The 27,140-nt window shown below is 51.4% G+C and overlaps 2 protein-coding genes across 14 annotated transcripts, besides 17 other annotated features; both read right to left on the bottom strand.

Annotated features, from left to right (window-relative positions):
- On the bottom strand, nucleotides 87–9,463 carry CCDC28B (coiled-coil domain containing 28B). Of its 7 annotated transcripts, none has more exons than NM_024296.5 (6): nucleotides 4,765–4,879; nucleotides 3,375–3,561; nucleotides 1,429–1,595; nucleotides 1,095–1,288; nucleotides 854–876; nucleotides 87–280 (listed from the first exon to the last, which is right to left on the bottom strand). In NM_024296.5, the coding sequence occupies exons 2-6, from the start codon at nucleotides 3,536–3,538 to the stop codon at nucleotides 226–228; spliced, it is 603 nt and encodes a 200-aa protein (NP_077272.2). In that variant the 5' UTR covers nucleotides 3,539–3,561; nucleotides 4,765–4,879; the 3' UTR covers nucleotides 87–225. The 7 variants fall into 7 exon arrangements, with proteins under 7 accessions (NP_077272.2, XP_016857796.1, XP_047286173.1 ...); XM_017002307.2 differs by lacking the exon at nucleotides 4,765–4,879 and adding an exon at nucleotides 3,672–3,742; XM_047430217.1 differs by having other exon boundaries at nucleotides 3,375–9,463.
- Nucleotides 315–816: an enhancer, noted in NCBI's record as "H3K4me1 hESC enhancer chr1:32670259-32670760 (GRCh37/hg19 assembly coordinates)". NCBI's record gives its function as "activates a minimal SCP1, AML or CMV promoter by ChIP-STARR-seq in primed H9 embryonic stem cells {active_cell/tissue: H9 hESC(primed)}" and the evidence as "EXISTENCE:reporter gene assay evidence [ECO:0000049][PMID:30033119]".
- Nucleotides 3,502–3,551: an enhancer, noted in NCBI's record as "active region_674". NCBI's record gives its function as "activates an Ori minimal core promoter by ATAC-STARR-seq in GM12878 lymphoblastoid cells {active_cell/tissue: GM12878}" and the evidence as "EXISTENCE:reporter gene assay evidence [ECO:0000049][PMID:35858748]".
- Nucleotides 3,502–4,553: a biological region, named in NCBI's record as "H3K4me1 hESC enhancers GRCh37_chr1:32666522-32667041 and GRCh37_chr1:32667042-32667562".
- Nucleotides 3,513–4,033: an enhancer, noted in NCBI's record as "H3K4me1 hESC enhancer chr1:32667042-32667562 (GRCh37/hg19 assembly coordinates)". NCBI's record gives its function as "activates a minimal SCP1, AML or CMV promoter by ChIP-STARR-seq in primed H9 embryonic stem cells {active_cell/tissue: H9 hESC(primed)}" and the evidence as "EXISTENCE:reporter gene assay evidence [ECO:0000049][PMID:30033119]".
- Nucleotides 3,902–4,121: an enhancer, noted in NCBI's record as "active region_673". NCBI's record gives its function as "activates an Ori minimal core promoter by ATAC-STARR-seq in GM12878 lymphoblastoid cells {active_cell/tissue: GM12878}" and the evidence as "EXISTENCE:reporter gene assay evidence [ECO:0000049][PMID:35858748]".
- Nucleotides 4,034–4,553: an enhancer, noted in NCBI's record as "H3K4me1 hESC enhancer chr1:32666522-32667041 (GRCh37/hg19 assembly coordinates)". NCBI's record gives its function as "activates a minimal SCP1, AML or CMV promoter by ChIP-STARR-seq in primed H9 embryonic stem cells {active_cell/tissue: H9 hESC(primed)}" and the evidence as "EXISTENCE:reporter gene assay evidence [ECO:0000049][PMID:30033119]".
- Nucleotides 4,812–4,891: an enhancer, noted in NCBI's record as "active region_672". NCBI's record gives its function as "activates an Ori minimal core promoter by ATAC-STARR-seq in GM12878 lymphoblastoid cells {active_cell/tissue: GM12878}" and the evidence as "EXISTENCE:reporter gene assay evidence [ECO:0000049][PMID:35858748]".
- Nucleotides 5,104–5,661: an enhancer, noted in NCBI's record as "H3K4me1 hESC enhancer chr1:32665414-32665971 (GRCh37/hg19 assembly coordinates)". NCBI's record gives its function as "activates a minimal SCP1, AML or CMV promoter by ChIP-STARR-seq in naive H9 embryonic stem cells {active_cell/tissue: H9 hESC(naive)}" and the evidence as "EXISTENCE:reporter gene assay evidence [ECO:0000049][PMID:30033119]".
- Nucleotides 5,662–6,220: an enhancer, noted in NCBI's record as "H3K4me1 hESC enhancer chr1:32664855-32665413 (GRCh37/hg19 assembly coordinates)". NCBI's record gives its function as "activates a minimal SCP1, AML or CMV promoter by ChIP-STARR-seq in naive H9 embryonic stem cells {active_cell/tissue: H9 hESC(naive)}" and the evidence as "EXISTENCE:reporter gene assay evidence [ECO:0000049][PMID:30033119]".
- On the bottom strand, nucleotides 7,189–25,799 carry TXLNA (taxilin alpha). 7 transcript variants are annotated; one of them, XM_017000563.2, is made up of 11 exons: nucleotides 25,698–25,799; nucleotides 24,960–25,160; nucleotides 23,798–24,232; nucleotides 20,858–20,949; nucleotides 17,350–17,520; nucleotides 15,225–15,419; nucleotides 13,044–13,163; nucleotides 12,743–12,817; nucleotides 12,174–12,266; nucleotides 11,314–11,409; nucleotides 7,189–10,572 (listed from the first exon to the last, which is right to left on the bottom strand). In XM_017000563.2, exons 2-11 carry the CDS (start codon nucleotides 25,126–25,128, stop codon nucleotides 10,279–10,281), a joined length of 1,740 nt encoding a protein of 579 aa, XP_016856052.1. In that variant the 5' UTR covers nucleotides 25,129–25,160; nucleotides 25,698–25,799; the 3' UTR covers nucleotides 7,189–10,278. The 7 variants fall into 7 exon arrangements, with proteins under 7 accessions (XP_016856052.1, NP_787048.1, NP_001363787.1 ...); NM_175852.4 differs by having other exon boundaries at nucleotides 23,897–24,232; NM_001376858.1 differs by lacking the exon at nucleotides 24,960–25,160.
- Nucleotides 24,796–24,845: an enhancer, noted in NCBI's record as "active region_671". NCBI's record gives its function as "activates an Ori minimal core promoter by ATAC-STARR-seq in GM12878 lymphoblastoid cells {active_cell/tissue: GM12878}" and the evidence as "EXISTENCE:reporter gene assay evidence [ECO:0000049][PMID:35858748]".
- Nucleotides 24,856–25,015: an enhancer, noted in NCBI's record as "active region_670". NCBI's record gives its function as "activates an Ori minimal core promoter by ATAC-STARR-seq in GM12878 lymphoblastoid cells {active_cell/tissue: GM12878}" and the evidence as "EXISTENCE:reporter gene assay evidence [ECO:0000049][PMID:35858748]".
- Nucleotides 25,103–25,861: an enhancer, noted in NCBI's record as "H3K27ac-H3K4me1 hESC enhancer chr1:32645214-32645972 (GRCh37/hg19 assembly coordinates)". NCBI's record gives its function as "activates a minimal SCP1, AML or CMV promoter by ChIP-STARR-seq in primed H9 embryonic stem cells {active_cell/tissue: H9 hESC(primed)}" and the evidence as "EXISTENCE:reporter gene assay evidence [ECO:0000049][PMID:30033119]".
- Nucleotides 25,103–25,925: a biological region, named in NCBI's record as "H3K27ac-H3K4me1 hESC enhancer GRCh37_chr1:32645214-32645972".
- Nucleotides 25,136–25,215: an enhancer, noted in NCBI's record as "active region_669". NCBI's record gives its function as "activates an Ori minimal core promoter by ATAC-STARR-seq in GM12878 lymphoblastoid cells {active_cell/tissue: GM12878}" and the evidence as "EXISTENCE:reporter gene assay evidence [ECO:0000049][PMID:35858748]".
- Nucleotides 25,416–25,595: a silencer, noted in NCBI's record as "silent region_585". NCBI's record gives its function as "represses an Ori minimal core promoter by ATAC-STARR-seq in GM12878 lymphoblastoid cells {active_cell/tissue: GM12878}" and the evidence as "EXISTENCE:reporter gene assay evidence [ECO:0000049][PMID:35858748]".
- Nucleotides 25,736–25,925: a silencer, noted in NCBI's record as "silent region_584". NCBI's record gives its function as "represses an Ori minimal core promoter by ATAC-STARR-seq in GM12878 lymphoblastoid cells {active_cell/tissue: GM12878}" and the evidence as "EXISTENCE:reporter gene assay evidence [ECO:0000049][PMID:35858748]".
- Nucleotides 25,862–26,621: an enhancer, noted in NCBI's record as "H3K27ac hESC enhancer chr1:32644454-32645213 (GRCh37/hg19 assembly coordinates)". NCBI's record gives its function as "activates a minimal SCP1, AML or CMV promoter by ChIP-STARR-seq in primed H9 embryonic stem cells {active_cell/tissue: H9 hESC(primed)}" and the evidence as "EXISTENCE:reporter gene assay evidence [ECO:0000049][PMID:30033119]".

Below are 27,140 nucleotides of genomic sequence, written 5' to 3'. Positions count from 1 at the left end.
CGCAGGCGGTACCTCCATAACCGAGGGCTGTCTCCGCGGAGACCGGGAGGAAAGGCGCAAGGAGGGGAAGCAGGACACGGAGCCGCTTGCTTTCTTTCTGGTTTAATTCCATTCAACGCCCCCCTCCCCCATAGCACCTGGGGGGCCGCAGAACACCCGCCCGAGTCTGTAAAAAGTCACAGTTTGAAGAGAATGAGAGGGGCAGTGTGGGCCTGCGTGGGACGCCTACGCAGCGGACTGCTCCTCAGGCTCGGCGTTCTCGGCCAGGTGCAGCTTCTGGCTGTGCCCGTCAAGGATCGTGGCGCTTTGGACCAGTCCTTCCTCCCACCCCGGTCTCCCATCTTGCACAGGTTTAGTTCCCTCACCTGTGCAAAGGGCCGGGGACGAGGGTCTCGGGCCGTCTGTGGACTGAGGTTGCAGTCCCCGCCTGCCCTCTCTCACCCCCTCTCTCTTCATCCAGATCGTGCAGGTCAGACACACTGGGGTGTGTGCGCGCGCACTCGCGCTGTTTCTGACTGAGGACCAGGTGAGGTGGTAGTGTAAATTAGTAAAAATAATTGTTCAATGCTGAAAGGATAGGAGGACATCGGACAAGCTTTGCTATGATTGATGTCAGCTAAAGTACTCACAAAGATTTTGATCAGTAGTAAAACATCCCCTACAACCACTTTTCTTCTAATTTTGGGGAAATTCTAAATTCCTGTACCTGGGTTTGGGCAGTCTGTGGCTAAATCTGACAGGACTGCAAGAGGTGGGGAAGTTGGTTGTGTGTGAATACTCCTGGAGGGCTGGAGAGGAGGAAACTGACCTCTCAGGAACACACACACATAGACGGGTTCCTTGGAAAGGATACATAGAATTACTGAGGTCTTCCAGCTGCCAACAAAGAGAAAAAGGGAGGCTTCTGTTAGGAGGGGAACCAGGCCAAATCCCCAATGCTCTGGGGGCTATCTTCTGGGGAGGTTGAGGGGCCCAGAGCTCTTGGATCCATGCACTCCCACCTTTTCACCCAGGGCCCAGGAATGGCTTTGGGAGTATGTACCTTCTCCACCCCTCATGCCCCCAGGAACCAAAGCACCCAGACATGAACCCACATTGCTAAGCAGCTGGTCCAGGTTACGGTCAGCCATTGTCTTCTTCTGCTCCTCTGGCAGCCCCTCAGTGACCCCATCCTCTTCCTCTTCATCGTCCTCCTCCTCCCCACACACATCCAGGCTGAAGTGCAGCCGGGCTAGCTTCTCCTGCATCTCCCGAACGTGCTCCAGCTGCTCAAAGGAGCATTCCTTCCCTGGAACGAAGCCCCTGTCTGAACCCTGGGAAAGAGTCCTGGAACCCTGGAACCCTGGAACCATGGTCCCAGCCATGCCCCATGGACTGGGCCCTACAGCCCTATCCACACACCCGCTGAAACCAGCCCCCAGGACTCACCGAAGGCCTGCAGCCGGCCAGAGTGGAAATCATTGAGCAGGTTCAGGAGTCCCCCCTCCATCTCATAGACATCAGTCACCTCGGTCAGGAAGGAGTGCTGCAGGGGCGTGCCTGCAGAGCCGCTTCCACCTCCAGCCAGGACTGGGCGGCACTTCTCTTTGCCTACTCTGGGTGGGGTGGACATGACCATGATCACAGGGTAGGGGGCAGTCAGGCACCTCCCGATCTTTTGTGCCATCTGCCTATGCACCAGTTTATCTGTCTATCTGCACTAACTCATCTGCCCATCTACTTACTAGCATAAATGGGTAACTTTATGGTTCCCCTTGGGCACTGGGAAGGGGTGAGGAGGCGTGAAGAGGTCAAAAAGAAGTCTTTTCTGCTAATAACACAGCCAGAGCAGTGCCTGAAAGGGGGTCCCTGGGTTCCTGTCTGAGTGCCTCACTCATTTGTTTTATGACCCTGAATGAGTCACTTATCCTCCCTAGTCTTCAGCGTATATAGAGACAGCTACTCCCTTATTGCCACCAGGGCTGTCTTACCTCCTCCCAAAATATCTTTCTGCCCCTCTTCTTTTTTTTTGTTTTTTGAGACAGAGTCTCGCTCTGTTGCCCAGGCTGGAGTGCAGTGGTGTGATCTCGGCTCACTGCAACCTCGCCTCCTGGGTTCAAGTGATTCTCTTGCCTCAGCCTCCCAAGTTGCTGGCATTATGGGCGCCTGCCACTATGCCCTGCTAATTTTTTTTACTTTTAGTAGAGTTGGGGTTTCACCGTGTTGGCCAGGCTGGTCTTGAACTCCTGACCTCAGGTCATCTGCCTGTCTTGGCCTTCCACAGTGCTAGGATTACAGGCCTGAGCCACTGCCCCTAGCCCTCTTCTTTTTTTTTAATTAAAAAAAAAATTTTTTTTTTGTTTGAGACAGAGTCTCACTGTCACACAGGCTGGAGTGCAGTGGCACAATCTCGGTTCACTGCAACCTCTGCCTTCCAGGTTCAAGTGATTCTTGTGCCTCAGCCTCCCAAGTTGCTGGGATTATAGGCACCCACCATCACGCCTGGCTAACTTTTGTATTTTTAACAGAGATGAGGTTTCACCATGTTGACCAAGCTGGTCTCAAACTTCTGACCTCAGGTGATCTGCCTGCCTCAGCGTCCCCAAGTGCTGGGATTATAGGCTGAGCCACCATGCCCAGCCAACCCTCTTCTATTTAAAAACTCTTTTAAACAAAAACAAAAATACATAGAAAACAAAGCCAAACCAATAAACCAAAAAAACTGTCTTAAAATTTCCACTGCTCTCAGGATAAAATTGAATGCCCCTGCCAGCCTGGCCCTCCTGCCTTCCCAGTTGCCTTTCCTGCTACTCTCCCCACAGCCTTGAGCTTCATGCCCCTTAGGCAAGTGGTGTGCAAAACCAGGGGGAAACACAGTGGTCTTATCTGGAGCAACTGGAGAAAGAATACATTGTATTTAGTGGGGAACAAACATGGACACATTATAAGGCAGCATGCAAACTCCCAATCATAAAAAAAATTCAACAGAGAATTCAAATTGTGCCCCCAGGTATTTCCTCACCATTTCCTGTTCCCTGATACTCCAGGGCCCCCAAACCACCTGTGGTTCCTGAAACCTTTCAGGTAATAGCTTTCTTCCATATTTATACCAGGTAAGCCTCTCAGCGTGGAACATTCACTTTCTTGCAGAGTTGCTCACTCCCTCCTCTGAGGCGAATCCTCACGCTATGTGATCCCAGTGACCCACCTGGCCTTTTTGCCACACAGTTGAGGGTAGGGACTGGGTCTGAGTGAGCTCTGAGTTCTCAGGGGTCTGCTCCAGAAAGGCATCAATTATTGCTTAGGAACTAAAGGCGGAGGCCCCCCTTGCCTTCCTCTCTACAGTGCAACCCAGAGTTGGGGTCCCTCCTCCTTTCCTTCCCTTCTGTACCCACCTCTTGAACTTGGCCCGCTGCTTGGGGGATGGCAGATGAGGAAGTCCTAGGGCCAAGGAGCCGCTGTGGCTGGTAGGCACAGGGACCCTCCGTAGTGTGCCTGGGGCCTGGGCTGGCTGGGCCAGGCAGGGCTTGGGACTCCGTTTCTTCTTTTTGTCATCCATTGGGCGCTGGCTGGGCCTCAGGCCTAGGAGGGAAGCAACCCCACAAAGATAGCCAGGGGCAAAGTTAGCCCTTCACCCAGAAATCCCTGAGAGCTGCACCAAGGAAGGGCCCTGGGACCTTCCAGCTTGTCACCTCATCTATACGGTAGGGGCAGAGCCAGATGCCAGTGTCTGCTGCTGGGATCGTGGATGTACACTTGAAGGACCTTCTAAGGCCCAACCTAATTCCCCTTCTGCCTGAAAACCTAGGCCCCTCCTGAAAGGGTGGGACCAGTCACAACTATCTTGGCGCTACTGGGGCTTCCTGTCACGGTGGCTGGGGGGCGGGGCTGGCAGAGGAAATGTAGTGGGAGACAAGACGGAGGTGAGCTGCAGAAGCCCAGCCGAAGATTAGGGATGTCTTAACTAAACCCTATTCTATTTATCAGGGGCCTAAGCAGATGCTAACAAACCCTGTCAGCATGGGAGGGGGACAAGGTGCAGGTAGGGGCGCCTGGGAAAGCCCCAGCGTGTGGGTAATTGTAGGAGAAGCCGCAGCATACAGGGCAGGGTTCATTGTGGGTTTCCCCCACATAGACACCGGCATCCCTCCACTTCCACCCACCCCCAACCGAAAATATTAGGGACTCCCTATAGGTCCCGCGGGTGTGCTTTCAGCTGCTTCATTTTTCCCAGTCGGAAAGTCCCTGCTGGGCTTCAGCTGCAGCCAGGGTGGACTGGGTGGTTGGCCGCTGGCTGCCTGGGCCTCCGACAAAGGCTGCGCCTGTGGCTGGGCTGCTCCGAGGTCCCCGGTCCAGCAGCGCCCCCCAAGCCTCCGGTCGGCTGGGGTTCCCTCCTCTGGGGGTCTCATTCCAGGCTGCTGCTACCGAGCCTAACTTCGAATTCTGGGACTGGGGGGGTTGGGGGGGTGGGTGGCGCTTAAGCATTTACACTGACACATAGCTGGCTGCCACTGACGGGGTCTGCGGGTGTGGGGAGGGGAGATAGGAGCGCATCCTCTGCCTCTCCGTGCAGCAGCTTGACCCAATTAGGGACCTGATAGAAGAACTGGAGCCGGAGCCTGTGCTCCCCAGGAGCGGCTGGGGCGACCGGGGATCTATTTCCCAAGCCCGGGCTCCAAAGCCATGTGCCAAACTCATCGCTCAGCTCCGCAGCCGCGCTCGAAGACAGAGCGTCAGACCCGCGTCATTCCGCCCCCGCCCTCACTCCCTCAGGGGGCTACTGACCTGGAGGTTTGGGGTCTCGAGTGATGCTTCGGTGCAAGTTCCCTCCGCCCTCCGCCCTCTCCTCCCGGGAACACCACCGGGTGAAAGCTAAGCTGGAGGGAGTTCATTTGCATTTAAAGAGAAAGTGACCTTCTCCTTAGCGCGGTGGGGTGAGATGGGAGGAGCATCCCCGCGTATGCTAAGCAGTTCCTCTCACTCGACCTCACCTCCCCGCCTGAACCTAGGGGACCCTGTTGGTTGTGTGATGTCTATTTTAAAAAGATTTTCCCTTTCCCGGCAGTTTCAGAGAGAAGCTACAGTTCCTTACAAAATGGTGGTGGCTTTGTCAGAAAGGGGGTGGGGCGGGGGAGAGGAGAGACAGAGTGAGTGAGTGAGAGAGAGAGAATGTAAGCACAGAAGAAGCACAAGCAGCAACAGCAGCAGCATCAGGAAGACACTTCGAGCAAAGACAGCCATCAATGGAGTGAGTCCAGTGCCCTATTGAGCACTTTACATACATTTCATCCCCATAACAACCCTTAAGGAAGATACCAGTGTCATTCCCCATTCTACTGAAAGTAAGCAACAGTCTTTTGAGGGCAAAACCCCTCTCTCTACAATGCCAGACAGTTTTCTCTGGTAAGTGGTGGGGGCTGTATTTTGCCGCAGATGAAGTGACAGGAGTCCTCCCCACCCCCCAGGCCTAGGAGACAGGTGTGGGGAGCACCAGGTCATAAGGTAGACCACGCGATTCCCTGGCACCTGACTCCAGTCCTCAGGGAAACCTGAGCACCTGATGGAGGCTGACCCAGTGTGACTGCTGCTGCCTGCAGCCAGATCAATGGGGGCAGCTATTTAAAGCCCTGGCAGAGGCTCCTGGCGCAGGTCCCCAGAACAGCATCTGATACAACAGGAGAGAGGCTCATGTTTGGCCAGGCGGCTCAGCAGGCTCAAGTGAGCTGGCCCAGGGCAGTGCACACAGCCACCCAGCCCACCTTCCCCATCCCCGGGCAGGAGTGGCTTCCTGGGGTTGGGCCTCTTGGCTGATGTGGGGAGCCATGGGCACTGCTCCTGAGGGCACCTGCTCAGGGCTTCTTCCTGGGTACTTCCAACACTCAGAACACTCCACAAGGGTAAAGAGTAATTCCGAACTTTTTCAATAACCAGGGGCCCAGACTGGGGACAACAGAAATCCCTCTCCTTCCCCACCGGAGCTGCTAGAGTAGACAGTGGTAATGCTGCTGACAGAGGGAGCACCCCTGTGGTTCCCATCCTCAGCTGCTTCACTGGGGGGTCAGAAACCTCATTATTCTCAGAGCTGCTTTGCTTGGAATCTCCAAGAGTTGGGGCGGCACCCCCCCCACACCCTCCAGAGGATCTGCGACTAGAAATAACATGGCCAGCATGGAAAACATGTATCAGGACCCAGCTAGAAGGGTCAGAGGCTCTGCTGGGACTGTCACAGTCATTGTGGGCACATCTATTTGTGGAGGCCTGGAGGGAAGGGCAGGTGGGTTGTCTCTGCCATTTCCTGGGCATTCAGCACATATCATCCTTTGTGCCTGACCAACCCAGGACCCAGAGAGAACAGGGTGCTGGGTGAGGCCACCAGCAGCATGTCTCCCATATAGGAGTCCCATGCTTGAGGTGGGTAAATGGGGGGTGTAAAAACTGAACAGAGAATGTGCTCTCCTTAAGGAATGCATACAATTAGAGGCCCCTGTGAATTCCCTTGGGCAGGCCAGGGCTATAGGAGCCTACCCACAGCTCAGACCCAAATAGCAGTGATGAGTGTCCACCCCTCTTAACCTGGGCCTCAAATGGCCTATGCCTGGCTCCATGCCTTTTGCCTTACTGCTGGAGCCTATCAATTTCCTATTGAAACACCTTCAGTTGCCCCCCCTGCCCTCTGGATCTAGCCCACATTCCTTAACCTGGTACCCAGACTCTGGGCCCAGCCTCACCCCCTCTCCCAGTCCCATGGACCTGCTTCCCAGCTGTACCATTTAATCACTAAATGACGTTCATCTTCTACCTGCCCTGTGGTTCAGAAGGCCATTCCAGGTATCACCCCCTCACCTTGCTGAAGGGGGCAGGGGCCTCCTCTCTGCTCTCAGCACCATTGACCTGTCTATAGCTAAAAGTACCTTTTCCCTTCACTAGCCTGTGAGCCCCCAGGTCAGGGAAAACTTTTTTGTGTGTGTGTGATCCTCTCTGAGGCAAGGGTCTTGCCAACTTTGCCAAGGGCTCCACTCAGGCAGCTCAAGTGAATATGCCAGCATCCTGAGGCTGTGGCGACTGCTCAAAGACACTGTGGAATATGTAAGATACCAGGGAACCACCATGGGCGCTCTGCAGCAGACCTGAACAAGTCAGTGATGATGGAAGGGGCTGAATGGATCAGATCCAGAAACAAAGGAATACACAGGTCAGGAGAGAAACAAGTAAGGCAACAGACTCTTTATTTAATGTGGTTTAAAATACATCAAAATCAAGTCCCTGGCTGTTGTGAATACCCAAAGGAGACAAAAAAGCTGCCAGTGCAGCTTCAAACAAGTCTGAGTGGCCGGGCTGGGCCATAAGGAAAGCAGTTACAGGGACAGAAGGCAGCTCCCTTCCCCCAGGAAGGGCAAGAGGAGCAGGTGCCTGGCTGTCCCTGGGGTGACCACCTCTGTGCTGTGCAAGGCGGAAAGGCTGGGGCAGCAGCTGGAGAATCAGCTCAGCAGGCCTTGGCCCTCCCCCGTGGACACCAGGCAGCTCCACTGGCCTCCGGGTCAGCCCTCAGGGCCACCGTGATGGGGTGGAGGAGGGTTAAATAACCATCTTTACAGAAATAACAGTCTCCTACAGAAAGTGCCTGAGCTCAGCCCATGGTCCGATAACCTCATGGAAAACAAACAACAAATAAAAAAAAAAAGTGCTGCTGACACCTCTCAGAATCTGGTGGACATGAAGCTCTCAGCTGGACAAGGCCCTGAAAACAATTTACTATTAGCAGAGCCATGCGCTCTTGAGCTTCACCTGCTGTGGTCCCCTGGAGGAAAAGCTAGCAATCTAAGAAACCAACACAGATCTTGGTCCTAAAACTGAGGTCACAAGTGTGGGACCCACCCAGGTGAGGAAGACACTGGCCTTCACTCATGGATAGGCACCTCCCCTGCATCTGGCCCAGGACCTGGGCTACTTTGGAAAGCAGAAGCAGAGCAGCTGTAGTGATTGGTTGATTTGGTCAATGAAGAGAAGAAAAAGGTAGGGAACCTCATCTGCAGACTGGCCTGAAGGTCTAGACATGGATGGAGCTGTGAGCAAAGGCTGCACCTTGCCTGGGGCCCACATTCCTGACCTGGGAAACCCAGCTGGGGCCACCTGCTCACTGTGGCCTCCTACACCACCACACTGGGATCCAGCAGCTCCAGTCCCTCCACAGGCATTAAGAGGTAGCTGAAGTGTGAGTCAGGCAATTATGTGGGCCACTGTAGGCCTTTCCCCTCTCTTCAAGGGGGAAGGTGCATACCTCTGCCTCTTCCCTGCACCTCTCTCGCCTAGCAAACACTCTGTGAGGTTGGCAGCTCTTGTACCAGCTTAGCCTGGCACAGGGGCTGGGGTAGGGAAAAGGCCCTACTGGAGCAGGAAGAGGCAAGGACTACTCCAGACAGAGGGATTCAAAGGGGAAGAAAAAGGTCATGGGAAACACTTCACAGGACAGCAGTATCTCAGCCAGAGATGGCAGAGATCTCAACACTCACACAGCTGCTTGAGGGCACCTAGATGTGAAGGATACACCAGAGAATAGCAGGCAACTCTGATGCAGATCAGTGGTACCTGCCCTGGGGCAGGAGAAGGAGAAATGGTGTGCCATTCATTTGCCATCTCTGGTCTCAGTCACACATGATTCAGTACTTAACATTCTTTGTGAACCAACTTATCTGAGAGATTTAAGGTAAGGGCTAAAAGAGTGGGCTAGGTATGGAAGATGAAGGGACCTGCAGGACAATGAACTAGCTTCAAAGAAAAACAGCAAGAAGCAAAGCCCTAACCATCCTATCCATCTTGGTCTGAGTCATTCTGTTGTCCCAGAAAACTGCTTGGCACAAACACTGGCTAATACCCTGGCAAGTTTGCAACAGCAGAACATTCAGCATATAGAATGGCTCTACACAGTACATAGTAGTTATGTACTGGAGTGGGGGTAGAACAGGACACAGAAACAACTGTCTGCAGCCATTTTATGGATTTCTGGGGCCCAGTCAATAGTTCAATTTCATTTCTTACCTGTTAGACAACAGCTATGGGCTCCCACACAGGAAGAAGTAGAATCCCCAAGGACAGGCAGGGAGGTGCCAGGAAATAGAATCAGGACAAATCTTGAGGATTGCACATGTGGGGGTGGGGGCAGGAAGCAGAAAAACCCATGAAGCCAAAGAGGCAGCTGGACATGGGACCCAGCAACTGCTGCATGGAGACAGTGCTGATGGGAACTGGTGGTGGCCTCTCAGGACTGAAACCCACAGGTAAGCTTGTGGCAAAGCCATCAGAAGCCCTTTCCTTTCTTTTACCACAAACAACCTGATCTCACCAAACAGGAAACCTCAGCATCAAGATGGCAAAGGAGCCAAGTGGGGTGGTGAAGGAGGTGGGACACTGGAGGCCAGGCACCCAGGCACCACTGCTACAGCATCCCTCTTCCTTGGAAGGTCCTCAATACAAACACTGTCATGTGCAAAAAAAAAAGAAAAAGAAAAAAAAAAAAAAAGAAAAAGAAATAAAGAAAAAAACACCTTCAGAAATAATCCTTTGGGTGATCTCTTGTCAATCATTTGTGCAGGCTAGAGAGGCACCTGTGAATGATAAGGCTACTGAGAAGCATCATTGGCCTGGTCCTGGCACTACCAAAGGGCAGGGGAAGCGATGCCCAAGGGGCTCCTGACCAGCACATCATCCCACGCAAAAACATTCTCCAGGTCCCTTGTTCCAGGCAGGAAATCCCCAGCTCTGAGCGCCCTGCCAGGGCTCTGCCTAGGGACACCTTTTCCAGGTCTAGAGAATCAAAGGAGCCTCCAGAGCAGCTAGGAGGGCCTGAGCTGACCAAGCAAGCCCTGCTCACAAGACAAATGCAGTCAAGACCTGGGTGTATTACTTGTCTTGAGCTCTGAAGGGCAGGGAGGGGTCTGAGCCTCAAATCAGACAGAGAAATGCTCAAGTCACTTCTGCCAACTCACTGTGATGGCAGCTACAGATGACAGCCCCTCTCAAGACTCTTCAGCTCACAGACAAGCCACTGACTTCATCTGTACACACCCCCATCCCCAATGCAAGCCCACTGTACACTTACAGGTATAAATGCATTTGCAAGGCCTTGCAAAATGCCCTATGTACGTAAAACTGACCCACAAAATCCAAAATTGCAAGTGCCAGATGCCAGCCAGGTCAGAACATCCTGGCTTCAGCAATGGGCTGCTCAGCATGGGAGCCTTTTATGGGCCAGGCCTGGCTGGGCTGCCGCTCCCTTCCCAGCATGACCCAACACCAGGCTCTCTAGGCCCTGGCGGAGGTGGGCTCTTGAGGCCCAGTCTGGCCTGATGCTTCTGTGCTCGGTGCTCCTGGGTAGCAAGGCGCTTCTGTGACCCTGGGGGAGCTGGGTGCTTGAGCCCCAGGCCCCTCTGGCCTCCTCTCAGGGCCACTGTCAGTGAGGGAGCCCTGGCCACCAGCACTCAGGTCCTGTACCCTCTTGTTCAGGTCATTGCGCTCTGTCTGCAGTGCCCGGCACAGCTTCTCCAGCCGTTGGATTTTTACCTGCAGGCCCTCCAGTTCTTTATCCCGGACTGTTTTCTAGGGAAAGAAATGAGACCTTCAGTGCCGTGCCCCATCAACCTCCCACTTACCATCACCACTTGGCGGCAAACACTTTAACAAGGCTGAGAGCAGACCGAGTCCAAAGCTGGCCCCCTCTAGGAAACAGTCCTAGTTGAAGCCATGACTAGGCTGTCAGGTGGGGCAGCATGGTGCAGAAAAGGGGCACGGCTTGGAGATAACGTATTCCTCCATTTATCTACCACGTGACCTTGGCAAAGGACTTGACTTTTGAGCCTGTCTCATCTATAAAACAGGACTACTAATACCATCCTCAGAGCTCAAGAGAAGGTTCAATGAACAACGTACCTAAAAACATTCAGCAGCAAAAAAGACAAAAAAAACCCAAAAACTTTCAGCAAGGTCTGGCTTGCAGTTGCTGCTCCATCGTTAGTTCCTTTCTTCTACATTACAAGCTGTGAAATCACAAACTACCTGGGCTGCTTTACATGTAAACCAGGCACATCACTGGCACCCGTTTTTTTCTGCTCTTTTATTCCTTTCTTCCATTTGCTCCCTTCACTCCCACTGGAGACCTACCACTGGGCTCACCACCTCCCATGGGGAGAGAACAGCATTAACTTTGGACTTGGACATTGTGTGCAAATCTCACCTCTACCTCATGCTAGCTGTGTCACTGATGGGTAGAACATACAGGAAAGGGCCTGATATGCGCTAAGTGCACACCCCCACCCTGGCTGCAGATCACAGACAGCCCACCTCCTCAGCCATCTCAAGCAGGGCCTTGTTGCTGCTCTCCCACCGGGACCGGTACATGGTGGTTTCTTTCTCCAGCTTCTTGATCTTCTTAGTCATCTAGGTTATGTGACAGACAGAAGGAAATGGTCAGAGCTGGCCTCTCCAAGGTCTGTGTCTCCAAGGTGGGGACTGCACCTGTGTCTCCAAGGTGGGGAATGATTGATCCCAAGGCGCAAGGCATTACAGGATGCAGTCAATGCCCTCTGTGCCACCTCACCACCAGGAAGTCAGAGGTGTCCACCACCAATAACAAGGAATGGTAAGGGGCCAGGCATGGTGGCTCACGCCTATAATCCCAGCACTTTGGGAGGCCAAGGCGGGCAGATCACTTGAGGCCAAGAGTTCGAGACCAGCCTGGCCAACATGGTGAAACCCCGTCTCTACTAAAAATACAAAAAAAAAAGAAAGAAAAAATTAGCCAGGCATGGTGGCACGCGCCTGTAATTCCAGCTAGTCAGGAGGCTGAGGCAGGAGAATCACTTGAACCCGGGGGGCAAAGGCTGCAATGAGCTGAGATCATGCCACTGCACTCCAGCCTGGGCAATAGGTGAGTCTCCATCTCAAACAACAACAACAACAACAACAACAACAACAAACCCCCCAAAAAAACCAAACAAACAGAAAAGACTGCCCCATTCCCTGGGACAACCTGGAGTGTATACATACCACTGATACTGCCTCAAGAGGGGAAAGGCTGTGAACCTTCCTAACAGCCCTGCCCTTGAGACACCCCAGATGGGAGCTTCCTGAAGGCAGGCCCAACAATTTTGAATGAAGCAGCTTATGCCCCAGCAGCCATGCCTGGCCTGGACCACAGTTACCTTTTCCATCTCCTGCTTGAATGTGGTGAATACCTCGCTGCTTTTGGAAAGTGTGTTCTGGAACTCCTCAAACTTCTCTGTGTATAGGGCAAGCTGTGGGGAGAAAGCAGCCCACAGATAAGACTGGGTTTCTCTGGGAGGCACTCTGGTCAACACACTCAGACCCGTCCTTGACTCTCTGACCAGTAATTCTATTGAGATACTATTTTTCCTTAAAACAAAGCAAAGCTATATATTTGGAAGGATATAATCCAAAATGCTAAGCCTGGAAAGTAGGAGACTTAGGGTGACTTTTATTTTGCCTTTATGTTGATTTTCAAACTCTTCTGTTCCTACCTCCTCAAAAGCAATACATTTCTGAGCTACAAATGAAGTCCTCTGAGCCCACCTAACTACCTGGTCACCACCACATAGGTACTGTGCAGGTCCGGAGAGAACAAAGGCTCAACCAAGGCGTCATAGCAGCCAGGACACAGCCAGTCCTAGAATGAGGGTCCCATTTCACTACCCCCAGGATGGGGCCCAGTGAGGGAAACTTGAAGGCACAGGGTCAGGTTATATGCTCTCACCTGTTGCTTCAGGTGGGTCTCTTGCTGCTTCATCAGCTCACACATCCTCTGGGACTCTACTGCCTCTTTCAGGAGCTATTTCCAAGACAGAACCCCAGATCCTGTCAGAAGCCCCCAGGGGCTATGTTTGGTTTTTAGCCACAAGCACCAGACCCACTGAGGCTTCCTGCTCTCAGACTGGTACTCAAGGAATCTGTGCCTGGTCTGGCCAGACTTCTCCCATATAACCCGGCTATGAGCTGAGCCAGAGCCCAGCCTGTCTCCTCCCACCCCCACCCCAACCCTGGGGCCTGAGCCTCACAAAATCCTTCTCCCGCTGGTGCCGCTCTTCTGCCTCCTTTAGCATCTCCTGGGCCTGCTGGAGCTTGGCATCCACCAGCTGCTGTTGTAGGTCCTTGTGTTTGAAGACTTTGTCGATATGCTGCAACAAAGATGGTGGGAGCAGTCGGCTTGTCAGGCGCTCCCTTTCTCAGGGTAGCCCCACAGCCACAGACCAGGGCACTTTGCCCAGCCCCCCATCTCAATCTGATATGATGGACTCCCATGTGTACCACACAACATGGGCCCCAAGTCTCTGGAAGGTCAGCTTTCCAACCTCACGTCGTTTCTCTCCCAGTGAGTCAGACCTTGGTAAGCACATGGTTTATGGATGGAATCTGCTCCCAAGAAGGCAAGCAATAAACACACTCAAATCTCTGACCCCAGGATTGATCACCTATGGGGCTGGAAGCCCTCACTTCTGTGTCCCTGATTCTCTTGTAAATGGGAAGAATGGGCAAAAACAATGCCTCTAAGAACATAACAGCCTAGCTCAGTTGGCAAAGACTTGCCATATCTAGGCAAAGACTAGACATGTGCATCCCCAAGGAATGGCTGTCCTGCCTACTAGAGGAGCGCTGCAGACCTGTGTCAGGTGAGAGAGAAGGGATGGAGAGAAGGTGAAGGACTCAGGTGCTACTTCAAAGGTAAAATCAACTGGACTTGCTGAAATAAGGGAAAATAACTCCATTTTTTTGGATGGGGAAGGGAAGGTGCCTAGCAGGTAAGTCCAGTTTGGGTATGATGAGGGTGCCTGTGTCTGTCTGGGGAGGGCTGTAAATGCAAAGCAGCAGGGCCTGGTAGTCCTGCACCTCCTTCTCCACAGGTAGTACTAAGTCCTTTTTTGCCTTGGCGGGGAGAGAAAACGGGGGTATTCAGATTCTTGAAGTTCGTGTCTCACTGTAGTGGCCCAGGAAGCCTCTATGTCTCAGCGCTGAGGGATAAGAACCAAACCAACTCCCCTCAAACCAAACAAGCAGCTTTGTTCCCAGAGGATGAAGTATGGCAAGGAAAGGGGTGGGTCAGGGGAGCGCCCTCTAGGTCCTGCACACACGATCATCACTTTGGCCTATGAACCTAAGAGGGCAGATCTTCCCGGTCTCACCCACTGCCACACCCCAGGGGCTAGGAAAGGGCCTAATCCAGAGCAGGTCCTCTGCCAGCCCTGTAAGGGGGCTGCAGGTCTCCCTTCTCATGATGAGAACGCGCCCAGAACAGCCAGGTGACTGGCAGGGAAGATCCAAAGATTCAAGTGCCTGGGGTGGCAGCCAACGCAGTGACAAAGGGAGTGACATCCTGCTTTTTTTTTTTTTTTTTTTTGAGATGGAGTCTCGGTATATCACCCAGGCTAGAGTGCAGTAGCACAATCTTGGCTCATTGCAACCTCTGCCTCCTGGGTTCAAGCAATTCTCCTGCCTCAGCCTCCTGAGTAGCTGGGACTACAGCCGTGCACCACCACACCTGGCTAATTTTTTGTATTTTTAGTAGAGACAGGGTTTCACCATGTTGGCCAGGCTGGTCTTGAACTCCTGACCTCAGGTGATCCGCCCGCTTTGGCCTCCCAAAGTGTTGGGATTACAGGCATGAGCCACCACGCCCAGCCTGATAAATTCTGCCTTTTGAGTGGCAGGAGCAGCAAGGAATCAGTGGACACAGTCTCTGGAGTCCATCACTGATCACAGGTACACCCCTCCCCTGCAATTCCAAATTCTACAAAGTTCTGAAAATGGAAATTGTCATAAGCTGGCAGCCAGACTTGACCTGCATCATTGTAAGCCCATAATGTAGGTGAGTATTTGGAAGTTCTACTGCATAAATACATTAATGTGTCTGGCTTCCCCAAGGCCCTGCTGAGGGTGCTATATAACACACAGTCCATACATGTACCTCCATTCTAAAATGTGGATAGTTCTAATTCCAAAAGATGCCTGGCCCAGTCATTTGGGACAAGGCACTGTGGACCTGGGGCTGTGTGGCTGTAAGTGAGTCTCTTCTCCACACCTGTTTTTTATCTATGAGGAATAACATTACTCTCCTCCCAAGGAGGAGGAGGAGGAAGAAAGGGAGAATGGGATGAAGCCTGAAAAGGTACTGTCCCAGTGCCTAGCACACACTCAAAACCTCACAATTTCTGGGCCATGACTGCTGTCCGTGATACCCTTACCTCCTCGCGCAGCTCATACTGCTCAATCAGCTTCTTGAGCCTCTCAGCCAGCTCCATGTTCTCTTGGCGCAGCTTGGAGTTGCGCTCATTGTGCTGTTCCATCTGCAGCTGAATGTCATTCAGTGTCACCTGGAAGTGCGAGGTCACCTCCTTGCGCTTCTCCTCCTCCTCCCGGGCCCGCTGCACACCTTCTTCCTGGGCAAAGAAGTCAGCCCGAGAGCCATCATCCACTGCTACCTCACAAGGGTCCCCCAGCTAGTCCACAGATGGTCTCTGCCAACAGCCCTCCCTGCTCCCAAAGCGTGGAGTAGCCAGACTCCAGGATGTTGTGCAATGCGGGTTCCAATGGGCCCCTCTGTATATCAGGTGACATCAAGTGAGATTCTCCCCCTAGAAAAATGCAGGCACATGGCAGGCGCGGTGGCTCACGCCTGTAATCCCAGCACTTTGGGAGGCTGAGGTGGGCGGATCACGAGGTCAGGAGTTTGAGACCAGCCTGGCCAATATGGTGAAACCCCGTTTCTACTAAAATACAAAAATTAGCCGGCGTGATGGTGTGCACCTGTGGTCCCAGCTGCTTGGGAGGCTGAGGCAGAGGAGTCATTTGAACCTGGGAGGCGGAGGTTGTGGTGAGCTATGATCGCGCCACTGCACTCCAGCCTGGGCGATGGGCCACAGAGCAAGACTCCGTCCCCAAAAAAAAAAAAAGGAAGAAAAAATGCAGGCACACATGCACACATGTAAGTGCTAAGTGCCATTCTGAAGCAAGTCGGATCTCCTAAGGCCTATTCTTCCAGATTTCAGATTAATGTGCATTTGTCCCCTCTGTACCCCCAGAGACCAAGCTGTTAAAATTTAGTAACACCCAGGGTTTGCAAAGTTGTGCAGAATTAGGCACTCAACACTTTTGATGGGGAAGGCACACTGCCCCCTCACTGGAAGGCAATCCAGCAAAATCTATTAAAATGAAAAATCTGCATATACTGTGACCTAGCCATTTCAATTCCATGACTTATCCTACAGATAAGTTCTATATAACTGACCAGTGATAAATATAACAAGAATTTTCACTATAGTTCTATATGTAATAATGAAAAATTGTAAACAACCCCCAAAATGCTTTAACTAGGGCACTGATATAATATATCCATATAATGAGAAGATAGCCCTACACATACTGATAGGGAAAAATGTTATGTAAAGTGAAAAAAAGGCACAGGATATGAAATGGTACATGTATAATAATTTCATTCTAAAAACTACATGTAAGATTTTACATATAAAAAAGAAAGTTAAAAGGCTGTATTTAAACTTGGTGTAACCACAGACTGACCTCACCATAGAAGCAGCAGAACATGGGAAGGACCCAGGTTCCTGACTGACCAACGTCTGGGACAAGAGCTGCTTGTCAGAGCCAGGCCTCCGCTTACCAGGGGACTGTCATTTCATTGAGAAATACTAACGCCAGTGCATTATGGATTCTCTTAGTACTTTATCCTTCACCTTATCTAATACATGTCAAATGATTACAAGCAGTACTCTCTTAACGTAAGGCATTATTGAGAAAGTGTATTTCTATGCCACAAGCCTGCACTACTTTTTTTTTTTTTTGGACACTGAGTCTCACTCTGTTGCCCAGGCTGTAATGCAGTGATGCAATCTCGGCTCACTGCAACCTCAGCCTCCCAGGTGCAAGCAATTCTCATGCCTGAGCCACCTGAGTAGCTGGGATTATAGGCATTTGCCAGCACACTCGGCTAATTTTTGTATTTTTAGTAGAATGGGGTTTCACTGCGTTGACCAGGTTGGTCTCAAACTCCTGGCCTCAAGTGATCCATCCACCTCAGCCTCCCAAAGTGTTGGGATTACAGGTGTGAGCCACCACACCCAGCCTTGCTTTTTTACACTGATTTCATGTTGAAATTGTAATGTTTTGGATATTGGGTTAAGTATATTACTAAAATTAATTTCTGTTTTTTAGTGGCCAGAAGATTTTTAATCACTTATGTGTGCCACTGCGCCTGGCCCTAGCCTGCACTACTTTTTAAGAGGAAAGCCCATGAAAGAAACATTAAGTGGAAGTCAAGGAAACCAGAGTCACCTGTTCCAGGGGGCCCAGGCCTACCTTGAGGGAGCGGTTGTGCCGCTGCAGCTCACGGCATAGGCTCTCAAGCTTGCTGCGGGCCAGGACGGCCTTGCTGTGCTCACCGCGCAGGTGGTCCTTCTCTTGCACCAGCTGGCTCTGCTTTTTCTGTAGGAGCTTCATCTGCTTCTGTGAATTCCGGTGCTCCTCCAGCTGGGGACAGGGATAGGGAGGGCAGGTGAGCATCTTGTGGGGCCTTCCTGGTGGGGGGATCACTATGCAGGTCTAGGGTCTCCTGAGCTGCCCTGACCCTTACCCTCTCAGGCCAGGAGCACTCTCATGGGCTGATGCTGTGCCGGTGCTTACACGCTCCTCCCATGAACTCACAATAACCCCAAAGGCTCCACCGTAGGGACAGAGAAATGGTAACTCACTAGGGCAAGCAGGGGCCACACAGCCAGCAGATGCCAATTCCTATTCCAGCTCTGACTCTGGGCCACTAGAGCCACTTCAAGCTGTTGCATTTCCCCAACTTGCTGGACACTCATGCCCGAGGATGAGACCACCTGCTACCGTACCTTGTGCCTATTAACAGACAGACCCCCATCGCTCCCTCGCATTCCTTCAAAACGTTAGCGCTGCGTTCATCAGCGCTCTCCCCAACACAATTACTTTTCTCATTTGTGGCCACTTCAGTATCAACAGATAATCCTTCTAACTCCCTGGCCTCACAGTCCATCACCTCTTCCACAAACCCACTCCTTTCCCCAGCTCAGTTCCCCTCCCATGACCCTATCCAGGCCTGTACAACAGAAATATAATGCAAACCACATAAGTAATTAAAAATATTCTACTGGCCGCACTAAAAAAGTAAAAAACAGGTGAAATTAATTTTAGTAATATATGTATTTAACCTAATATCCAAAACATTACAATTTCAACACGGAATCAATGTAAAAAAGTGAGGCCGGGAGTGGTGGCTCATGCCTGTAATCCCAGCACTTTGGGAGGCTGAGGCAGGCAGATCACTTGAGGTCAGGAGTTCAAGACCAGCCTGGCCAACATGGTGAAACCGTTTCTACTAAAAAAAAAATACAAAAAAGTAGCCAGTTTGGTGGCATGCGCCTGTAATCTCAGTTACTCAGGAGGCTGTGAGGCAGGAGAATCGTTTGAACCTGGAAGCAGGACATCACGCCACTGCACTCCAGCCTGGGTGACTGAGACACTCTCTCACAAAAAGATGTTTTATATTCTTTGTTTTTGCTTAAGTCTTCAAAAGCTGATGTGTATCTTACATTTATAGCATGTTCAAATTCAAACTGGCCACATGTCAATTAGCTAGAGACGAATTTATCTTGGACAGCGCAGATCTAGACTTTGTCACTACCAGAGAGCACACCCACTATCTCAATTTCCAGCATCCCAGTCCAGGACTACCATCACCTATCTTTTTAGCTCATTCCAATCAGTATCTGTGATCCTCAGAAAGTCTCTTACCCTATAGGACCTCCAATCCATTGACTCAACCATCCTTCCACTCTCCTTTAAAATAACTACATTACCTGGCTTGGATTTCTTACACCCTCAACTCTCTTGGCCCTTCCCCAGTAGTACTGCAACCCTAGTAAAGCACCTTCCTGCTTTACACCAGTACTATAACAACCCTACTTGAAGAGTCTCACTTTAAATTCATGGCCACCAATTTCAGGAAGACCAGCAATCCCAATACAATGCATATGCTATTCACACTCCTCTCCTTCCAGACAACTATTTCATCGTTCTCATCAAATCTCAAAACACAGAAGAAACTAGAGAATCAGGGGCACAAGCTGCACATCTACCAGTCCACCTGCCCCGTCCTCTCCTCCAGTCACACAGACCTAGCCATGTGGTTACCACAGCCAAGCCCCCTTCTTGGGCAGGCCTCAGCTCCCCTCCTCTACTCACAACACCACTCTAGCAACTCATTTCCTCTCTTGCATCAGCAATTTTCCCCTGGCTGGATCACTCCAAAAGGGTGCTTATCTTCCTTATACCTTTTATTTAATCCTTACAAGAATGTCATTAGGCAGGTATGACATTCCCCATTTTAAAGATGAGTAAAGTTCCTTACAGGAAAATATTAATAAATGTGTGTGGAATGAATTAATTTTAAAATAAATACTTAGAGGCCAGGCACAGTGGCTCACACCTGTAATCCCAGCACTTTGGGAGGCTGAGACGGGCGGATCACGAGGCCAAGAGATCAAGACCATCCTGGCCAACATACTGAAACTCTGTCTCTACTAAAACATACAAAATTTAGCCAGGCATGGTGACATGCACCTGTAATCCCAGCTACTCGGGAGGCTGAGGCAGGAGACTCGCTTGAACCTGGGAGGTGGAGGTTGCAATGAGCCGAGATCGCGCCACTGCACTCCAGCCTGGTGACAGAGCGAGACTCTGACTCTGAATAAATAAATAAATAGGCCAGGCGTGGTGGCTCAAGCCTGTAATCCCAGCACTTTGGGAGGCCGAGGCGGGCGGATCACGAGGTCAAGAGATCGAGACCATCCTGGCTAACACGGTGAAACCCCGTCTCTACTAAAAAAAAAAAAAAAAAAAAAAATAGCCTAGCATGGTGGCGGGCGCCTGTAGACCCAGCTACTCGGGAGGCTGAGGCAGGAGAATGGCATGAACCCAGAAGGCGGAGCTTGCAGCGAGCCGAGATCGTGCCACTGCACCCCAGCCTGGGCGACAGAGCAAGACCCCGTCTCAAAAAATAAATAAATAAATAAATACATACATACATACATACATACATACATACACAGGCTGTGACCATCAATGGATAAATCTGTTAGTTCAAATTCTGACAAGGGACCTGATGATGGAAGAATCTGGCTGCCCCACCCCCAACCCACTGAACAATGTTACAACAAAGTGGGAAGAGCATGCTTTGCATTTATTGTGATGGAACATGAAGTACTTATGAAGAATTCTTGTCAAAAAGTTGAAGCTGAATTGGATCAAGCTTTAGAGCTAACTTCTACTTCACTTACATGTACCAGGAGGTAAAGAAGTAAAATGATACCACAGAGATGACAAAGCTAGAAGGGGGCATCCTACAAGACAGCTAGTCTAGTTTCTGTTAAAAGTCAATGTCATGGGGAATATGAGGAGGCAGTGACAAGAAGACTGCTCTGGAGTAAAAGGAAAAAGTATCAAGTGACTAGTGTTAGTTTTATTAACTGTGATAATGGCTCTATGCATCTGTATTTGAGGAAGAAGCATCAAGATCACAAGGTGTCTTGGACTCAGGCCAGGAACAAGGGCTCTACCACCTTGGAATCATTCTTTGAGAAATTTCTTTCAAGGAATATGCAGTTTCTCCTCTTGCTGCACAGCCCTGAAGAGGCTGGCTGGAAGTGATTCCCCATTTAACAGATAGTTCAGAGAAAAGCTGAACAGGAATTAAGCCACCTACTTGACTCTGCACCCCCAACCTTACACCAGGTGGCATGCTGATTTTCCCAACGCAGGGAAGGTGCCCGCGGAGGGGGGAACTGACCAGTTCAGCATACTTCTTGCACAGAGCAGCCAGCTTCTCCTCTGGGGTACTCAGAGTATTCAATGTCTGCATCAGCAACGTGATCTCCTTCCCTGAAAAGCACAGGAGCAAAGACATGCACCCTCTTCTCCAGGTGTCCCCTCCAGGCCTGGGCTCACACTCATGAGTGCTGAAGACAGCCCTCCCCATCATACTTTATATTTTGCTTGTTGATTAGCTGCCTTCCTTGCCATAAGGACCAACTCAATCCTGCCCTCACTATAGCCCCAGTACTGTCCATAGTACCATCACAGAGGATATGCTCAACAAATGCTTATCAAATGAACGACTGTACCCTAGTGAAATCTCCTTAGTAGGCACCATTGGCAGGAGAAAAAAACTGCCTGCTCTACCAATAGAAGAAAGGTGTCCCACTTATGAATTCAGGGCTACTGTTTCATACTGTTTCAATGCAAGGAAGGCCCACCCTCCTGATAGAGGTAGGATCCAAAAAGGAATAGGTATCTTAGCCTCCTTGAGAAATACTAAACTCTTGTCAACAGAGTAGCCAAACAGTGAACTTTAAAATGAAGATACTTTCGGCCAGGCAAGGTGGCTCATGCCTGTAATCCCAGCACTTTGGGAGGCCGAGGCAGGCGGATCACGAGGTCAAGAGATCGAGACCATCCTAACATGGTGAAACCCCATCTCTACTAAAGACATACACAAAAAAATTAGCTTGGTGTGGTGGCACGCGCCTGTAGTCCCAGTTACTCCGGAGGCTGAGGTAGGAGAATCGCTTGAACCCAGGAGGCGGAGGTTGCAGTGAGCCCAGATCGCGCCACTGCACTCCAGCTTGGTGACAGAGCGAGACTCTGTCTAAAAAAATTAATTAATTAAAAAAAAAAGGCAGGGTACAGTGGCTTACGCCTGTAATCCCAGCACTTTGGGAGGCTGAGGCGGGCGGATCACGAGGTCAGGAGATCAAAACCATCCTGGCTAACACAGTGAAACCCCGTCTCTACTAAAAAAAATACAAAAAAATTAGCCGGGCATGGTAGCAGGAGCCTGTAGTCCCAGCTACTCGGGAGGCTGAGGCAGGAGAATGGCGTGAACCCAGGAGGTGGAGCTTGCAGTGAGCCGAGATCGCGCCACTGCACTCCAACCTAGGGACAGAGCGAGGCTCCATCTCAAAAAAAAAAAAAAAAAAAAAAGGCAGGGTACGGTGGCCCACGCCTGTAATCCCAGCACTTTGGGAGGCCCAGGTGGGCGGATCATGAGGTCAGGAGATCGAGACTATCCTGGCTAACACAGTGAAACCCTGTCACTACTAAAAAAATACAAAAATTAGCCGGGCATGGTGGCAGGCGCCTGTAGTCCCAGCTACTCGGGAGGCTGAGGCAGGAGAATGGTGTGAACCCGGGAGGCGGAGCTTGCAGGGAGCTGAGATCGCGCCAGTGCACTCCAGCTTGGGTGACAGAGCAAGACTCCATCTCAGTTGGGGGTGGGGGGTGAAGAAGATGATACTTTCCATGTATGTGACGTTAAGATTTTTTCCTTTTTCTTTTTTTGAGATGGAGTCTCACCCTGTCACCCAGGCTGGAGTGCAATGGCATGATCTCAGCTCACTGAAAACTCTGCCTCACGGGTTCAAGTGATTCTCCTGCCTCAGCCTCCCGAGTATCTGGGATTATAGGCACGTGCCACCACGCCCGGCTGATTTTTTGTATCTTTAGTAGAACTGGGGTTTCACCATGTTGGCCAGGCTGGTCTCGAACTCCTGACCTCATAATCTGCCTGCCTTGGCCTCCCAAAGTGCTGGAGTTACAGGTGTGAGCCACTCTGCCTAGTCGTCCCTAAGATTTTTTAAAGTTCCTCTTTAAAGTAAGAGGATACATAAGGGGAAAAGGGAATAGGAATAAAACATGGATATAATGACACTCGACTTAGATTCTAGATTCTTTTTTTTTTTTTTTGAGACAGAGTTTCACTCTTGTCACCCAGGCTGGATGTAGTGGCACAATCTCAGTTCACTGCAACCTCTGCCTCCCGGGTTCAAGCCATTCTCCTGCCTCAGCCTCCCAAGTAGCTGGGATTACAGGCGTGTGCCAGCATGTCCAGCTAATTTTTGTATTTTTAGTAGAGACGGGATTTCATCATGTTGGCCAGGCTGTTCTCGAACTCCTGACCCTCAGGTGATCCACCCGCCTCGGCCTCCCAAAGTGCTGCAATTACAGGCGTGAGCCACCACACCCGGCCTAGACTCTTAAACATACATACCCTGCTGTAAAATGACTGTCACTGCCTATTCCCCATTGCCTGTGACTGAGTCAGGGAGCCTTCCCTCTGCCTCCCCAGAAGGGCCCAAGAGATCAGCATGGAGACTGCAATTCGCAGGCATGTGTGCCAAATCCAACCCACGGATGGGTTTTGTTTGGCTCTTACCATTTTAGCTGCTAACTATGAAAAAATCTAGAGTTCTCACATAACTCTAGATTTCTGGCTTTTCTTTATTTAAAAAAAAAAAAAAAAAAAAAAAGCCTGACTGCACCCAGCCTGTAGTTTTGCCTGCTCTCAGTTGGCTAGCTGAGAGCAACTAATCAGGAAGCAGTAAAGCCTCCATCTTCAGGTGGCCCCATGGCCAGCCCAGCTTATGCAGATATTTGGGTTTTCAACTCTGGCCTAGTCTAATTTTCTTACTGTAAAGAGAAATATAAACTAAGACCCAGAGAGGAGAAGGGACACACCCAAGGTCACACAGCAGGTAGTACTGGCTGGCACAGGAGCCTACCCTAGCCTCCCGTCTCCATTTTCTCAAAGAGAGAACAGGTCCCATGCCAAGCTCCAGTTGCTCCAAAACCCAGAAGGCTTTGTGCTGGTAACTCCTGCATCTCTCTATGCCGTGGCCCCCACATCCCTGGCTTTGATTAGACTAGAGTGACTTGCTGCTCTGAGAAGTACCGTTTTCCTTTGAATCCTGGCAGAACAGACTGGCCCAGAGAACGTCAAGTCCAAACTCCCTCTCCTCACCAGCTTCACAAAGAGCCGCCCTCTGCTCACCCAAACCCTTGGCTTTTTTCTTCTCCTGTGGCCTTCGATGGTCTCGGTCTCCGACCTCGTCACTCTGCCGGATCTCTTCTGTGTTTGGATCCCCCTTGGAGGGTTCCTTCTCTCCATTGACTACTGGAGTTGGTTCAGGCTCCCCATTCCTTGCCACATAGGTCCGGGACTTCTCTGCATCTTCGGGTTCAGCCGGCTCACCCTGTGCCCCATCCTCGCCGGGGCCCCCCTGGTTATTGTCCACACAGTATGTGCTCAGTATGTCTTCCAGTTGGCGGCTCAGCTCCTCAGAGACATCACGAAGGGCCCCAGACTGAGCCGTTCTGGCTTGAGCCCCTACAGCAGGAGAGGATGAGGGGTAGAGTGAGAAAGAAGACGATTATACCACTGGTTGGGATTTTTCAGGCCCAGCCAAACTCATCAGTTTGAGTTAAATGTTGCCTAACTTTTTTTTTTATGGAAACTGAGAAGCAAGAATGGAGTATCATTCAGCAAATCTAGTTCCTGTCAGAATTTAGATTCGAAACATCTTTTAAATCAAGAAATTATAGTAATCGTTGCCTAACTTCTTTAAGTCTGTTTACTTGTAAAATGACACAACTATTTCTCACTACCACCCGAACATATTTGTTAGATCATAAAAGTATGTAAAGCATCAGCACACAGGGATGGCACGGAGCAACTTCTAGTCCATCTCCTTCCCCCCCACAAAACCATTTCTTGCCATTCAGATCATTCTAGAAATGCCTCAAACAGGAAGGGCAGTTAGCTGCTGGTGGCTGAGGTGTTTCTAACGGGACCTGGATTTCCTGACTGGGTGCCTCGTTTGGCTGCCACCTGACTTAATCCCGTCGGAGCTTCTCTCCAGAACTCTGTTCCTGTGCTTAGAGGGGGCAGCTCCGCCAACTCGCCAGAGCGCAGGGGGGACCGCGGCCCCCAGCACTGTCCTCTCATTCTACATCTCCTCCTCCCGGACAACCTGGCCTCGGCCTGTAAGTCCAGAAGCGAGGCCGACCCCACAGCTCCTCCCCCTGCCCGCTGGCAACGCAGAGCTGGCACACACCCTCCGGCTTCCGAGGAGCCTGGCTGCTGCCGGGACCTTCTGCTTCTACTGCAGGAGCCGCCTGGCTGGGCCGCTCCTGGGCTCCCTCGGGTCCTGCTTCCGGTTGTCCTGGGCTGCTTTTTGGATTGGATTGTTTGGCAGCCCCGTTCTTTTTGTCTTGGTTCTTCATTGTGATGAGCGATGCTGGGTCAGGAGAAGATCCTTTAGAAACAAACACAGTTGCTATTTTCCAGACTTCGAAATTCTTCGCAGCCTGGATCAGAAATCCCCACAGCAGGCGCACAAAGCTTCTTAAAATAAACGGACCGGCAGGCCCGGGCGGAGGGCGCCAACGGCTCTCTGGTCTTGGCGGGTCAGGAGAGCCCGACGTGCCGGGGCAGGCTTTCGGGGCGCAGCTCCCACAGCGGGTGAGGGAAGAGGCCTCTTCTCCCTGGAGCCACTTCCCGGCACAACCGGCCCCCTCGCGGCAGGCCGGGCGCGGGATTGGCTCAGGGCCGGAGACTGACGTGGCGGGACTCCCGGCACCGCCCCCGCCCCTCAGGCCCCACGTGCGCCCCCCGCGCGCGCAGCCACCCACGCCCCGCGCGCCCTCAAGCCGCGAGGCACGCCCGCGCATGCGCATATCCCCAGACAGCCCCCGGCCCACGCGGGGAGTTGGCGTGATTTCCCCACAGGCCGAGAACATCCCGGCCCGCACACTCTCAAATAGTCTCGCCCACCGGCCGCCGCTGCACGTACCTCACCGCCGACGTCCGATGGCTTCCCCACCTCTGGCCTCGCACCGGAAACCCCGAGTAACTGCTGCCGGCCAGCCGCCTGCTCCCGCCTCAGCCAATCAATAGCCGGCGCCGGCGCGGAGCTTGCTGGGAAGGACGAAGCGAGGGCGGCCTCGGAGGCGGGCGCCCCGGCAGGGCGGGGCAGGGAAAAGACTACGCGTCCCTCTTTACGCAGGGGCTAGCCGCAGATCCCAAGGTGCATAAGGGACTGTAGTCCTGGGAGTCCAAAAGGAGCCCGTCATTCTGCACGAGTGCCCATGTCAACCTTGTTTCTATCTCGCAGAAGCTATGCTTCAACTCCCAAAGCCTTGCGCCTGGCTGTTGTTTCCTGCAGGCCTCCATCAAACCTTCCTCCCTGGCCGTGAACAAATGTGACTCCATCCGGGAACTCCGAGGACTCGGGAAGAGGGATAGAGTCCTGGGCTGAGACTCAGGAGACCCATACTCCAGTCCCAACTTCATCACGGATTTGCTGTGTGGCTGGACGTTCTGTTCTCTCTCTGGGCCTCAATGTCCTTCTTCCAAAGGAGGCTTTTAATAACAATAGCAGTTCCTTGAACGCTTACTGTGTGCTTTCCCGCTATCTAATAGCTTGGTTCTCATAACCACTCATAGAAATAACTACTATCTGTTATCCCCATTTTACGGAAAAGGACAGTAAGAGAAAGGTTAGGTAACTTATCCAAGGTCATATCGATAGTGAGTGGTTAAAACAGGGATTCAAAACTGGTAAGTCTGAGACCAGCACCCAGGTAATTACCTGGTCTTTCACCCAGAAGAAACACTACCACAGCAGGTTTCCCTGAGGCAGTCAAGGTAACTTGTGAAAGTAGGTCATATTTTCCCCTCTCCATTACCATTTTGGCAGTCAGTTCCTCAGAAAGGTGCTGAGTTAGGCTTCAGGCATATTCATGAGCCTTTTCTCTACCCCACACTCTACAAAGTCTCACTGGGGTTAAAGTAGAAAAAACCCCCACAGTTCCCTACACATGAGATCACAATTCTGTATCCCCATTGCTTCTGGATAATGAAATCAAACCCAACAATCCTTGTGCCTGGAATTTGAAGCCTAAGAGATTTGACTTTTGCCAAACCCAAAATTTTTTGAGGCCCAGTTCAAAGGTCACTTCAGAGCCTTCCCAGTGCTCTGCAAACCGTACTTGCTCCCTAGGTCTGCAGAGTTGTTACAGCATTAGCAGTGAGGTGTTGAAATTACTATTTACTTATAAGTCAGTTAATTTTGCAAGAACTGTTGGCTAAATAGTCTAGTCCCAGAGCCTCGCATCAGGCTGTGGGTAGAGAAGATTGTAAACTGTTGTGCTAATTGAGCGTTGGTTTAGGGCTGTTAGGATGTTAAATATTTCCCCCAAAGGCTCAGTGAAAGACTTCAGAGCCGTGCATGTTG

Source organism: Homo sapiens, chromosome 1 (genome assembly GCF_000001405.40).
Source record: "Homo sapiens chromosome 1, GRCh38.p14 Primary Assembly".
Taxonomy (NCBI): Eukaryota; Metazoa; Chordata; class Mammalia; order Primates; family Hominidae; genus Homo; species Homo sapiens.
This window is presented reverse-complemented; position numbering and strand designations above follow the sequence as displayed.

Excerpts from the sequence above, each read along its gene's own strand:
- CCDC28B (XM_047430215.1), bottom strand. The coding sequence starts at position 3,538 with ATGGATGACAAAAAGAAGAAACGGAGTCCCAAGCCCTGCCTGGCCCAG. Across the intron at positions 1,596-3,374 it reads CAGCGGGCCAAGTTCAAGAG|AGTAGGCAAAGAGAAGTGCC; the intron begins GTGGGTACAGAA and ends CACCCCACCCAG. Across the intron at positions 1,289-1,428 it reads TGGCCGGCTGCAGGCCTTCG|GGAAGGAATGCTCCTTTGAG; the intron begins GTGAGTCCTGGG and ends GCTTCGTTCCAG.
- TXLNA (XM_017000563.2), bottom strand. The coding sequence starts at position 25,128 with ATGAAGAACCAAGACAAAAAGAACGGGGCTGCCAAACAATCCAATCCA. Across the intron at positions 13,164-15,224 it reads AGTATGAGCTGCGCGAGGAG|CATATCGACAAAGTCTTCAA; the intron begins GTAAGGGTATCA and ends TCTTTGTTGCAG. Across the intron at positions 10,573-11,313 it reads TGCTTGAGATGGCTGAGGAG|AAAACAGTCCGGGATAAAGA; the intron begins GTGGGCTGTCTG and ends TTCTTTCCCTAG.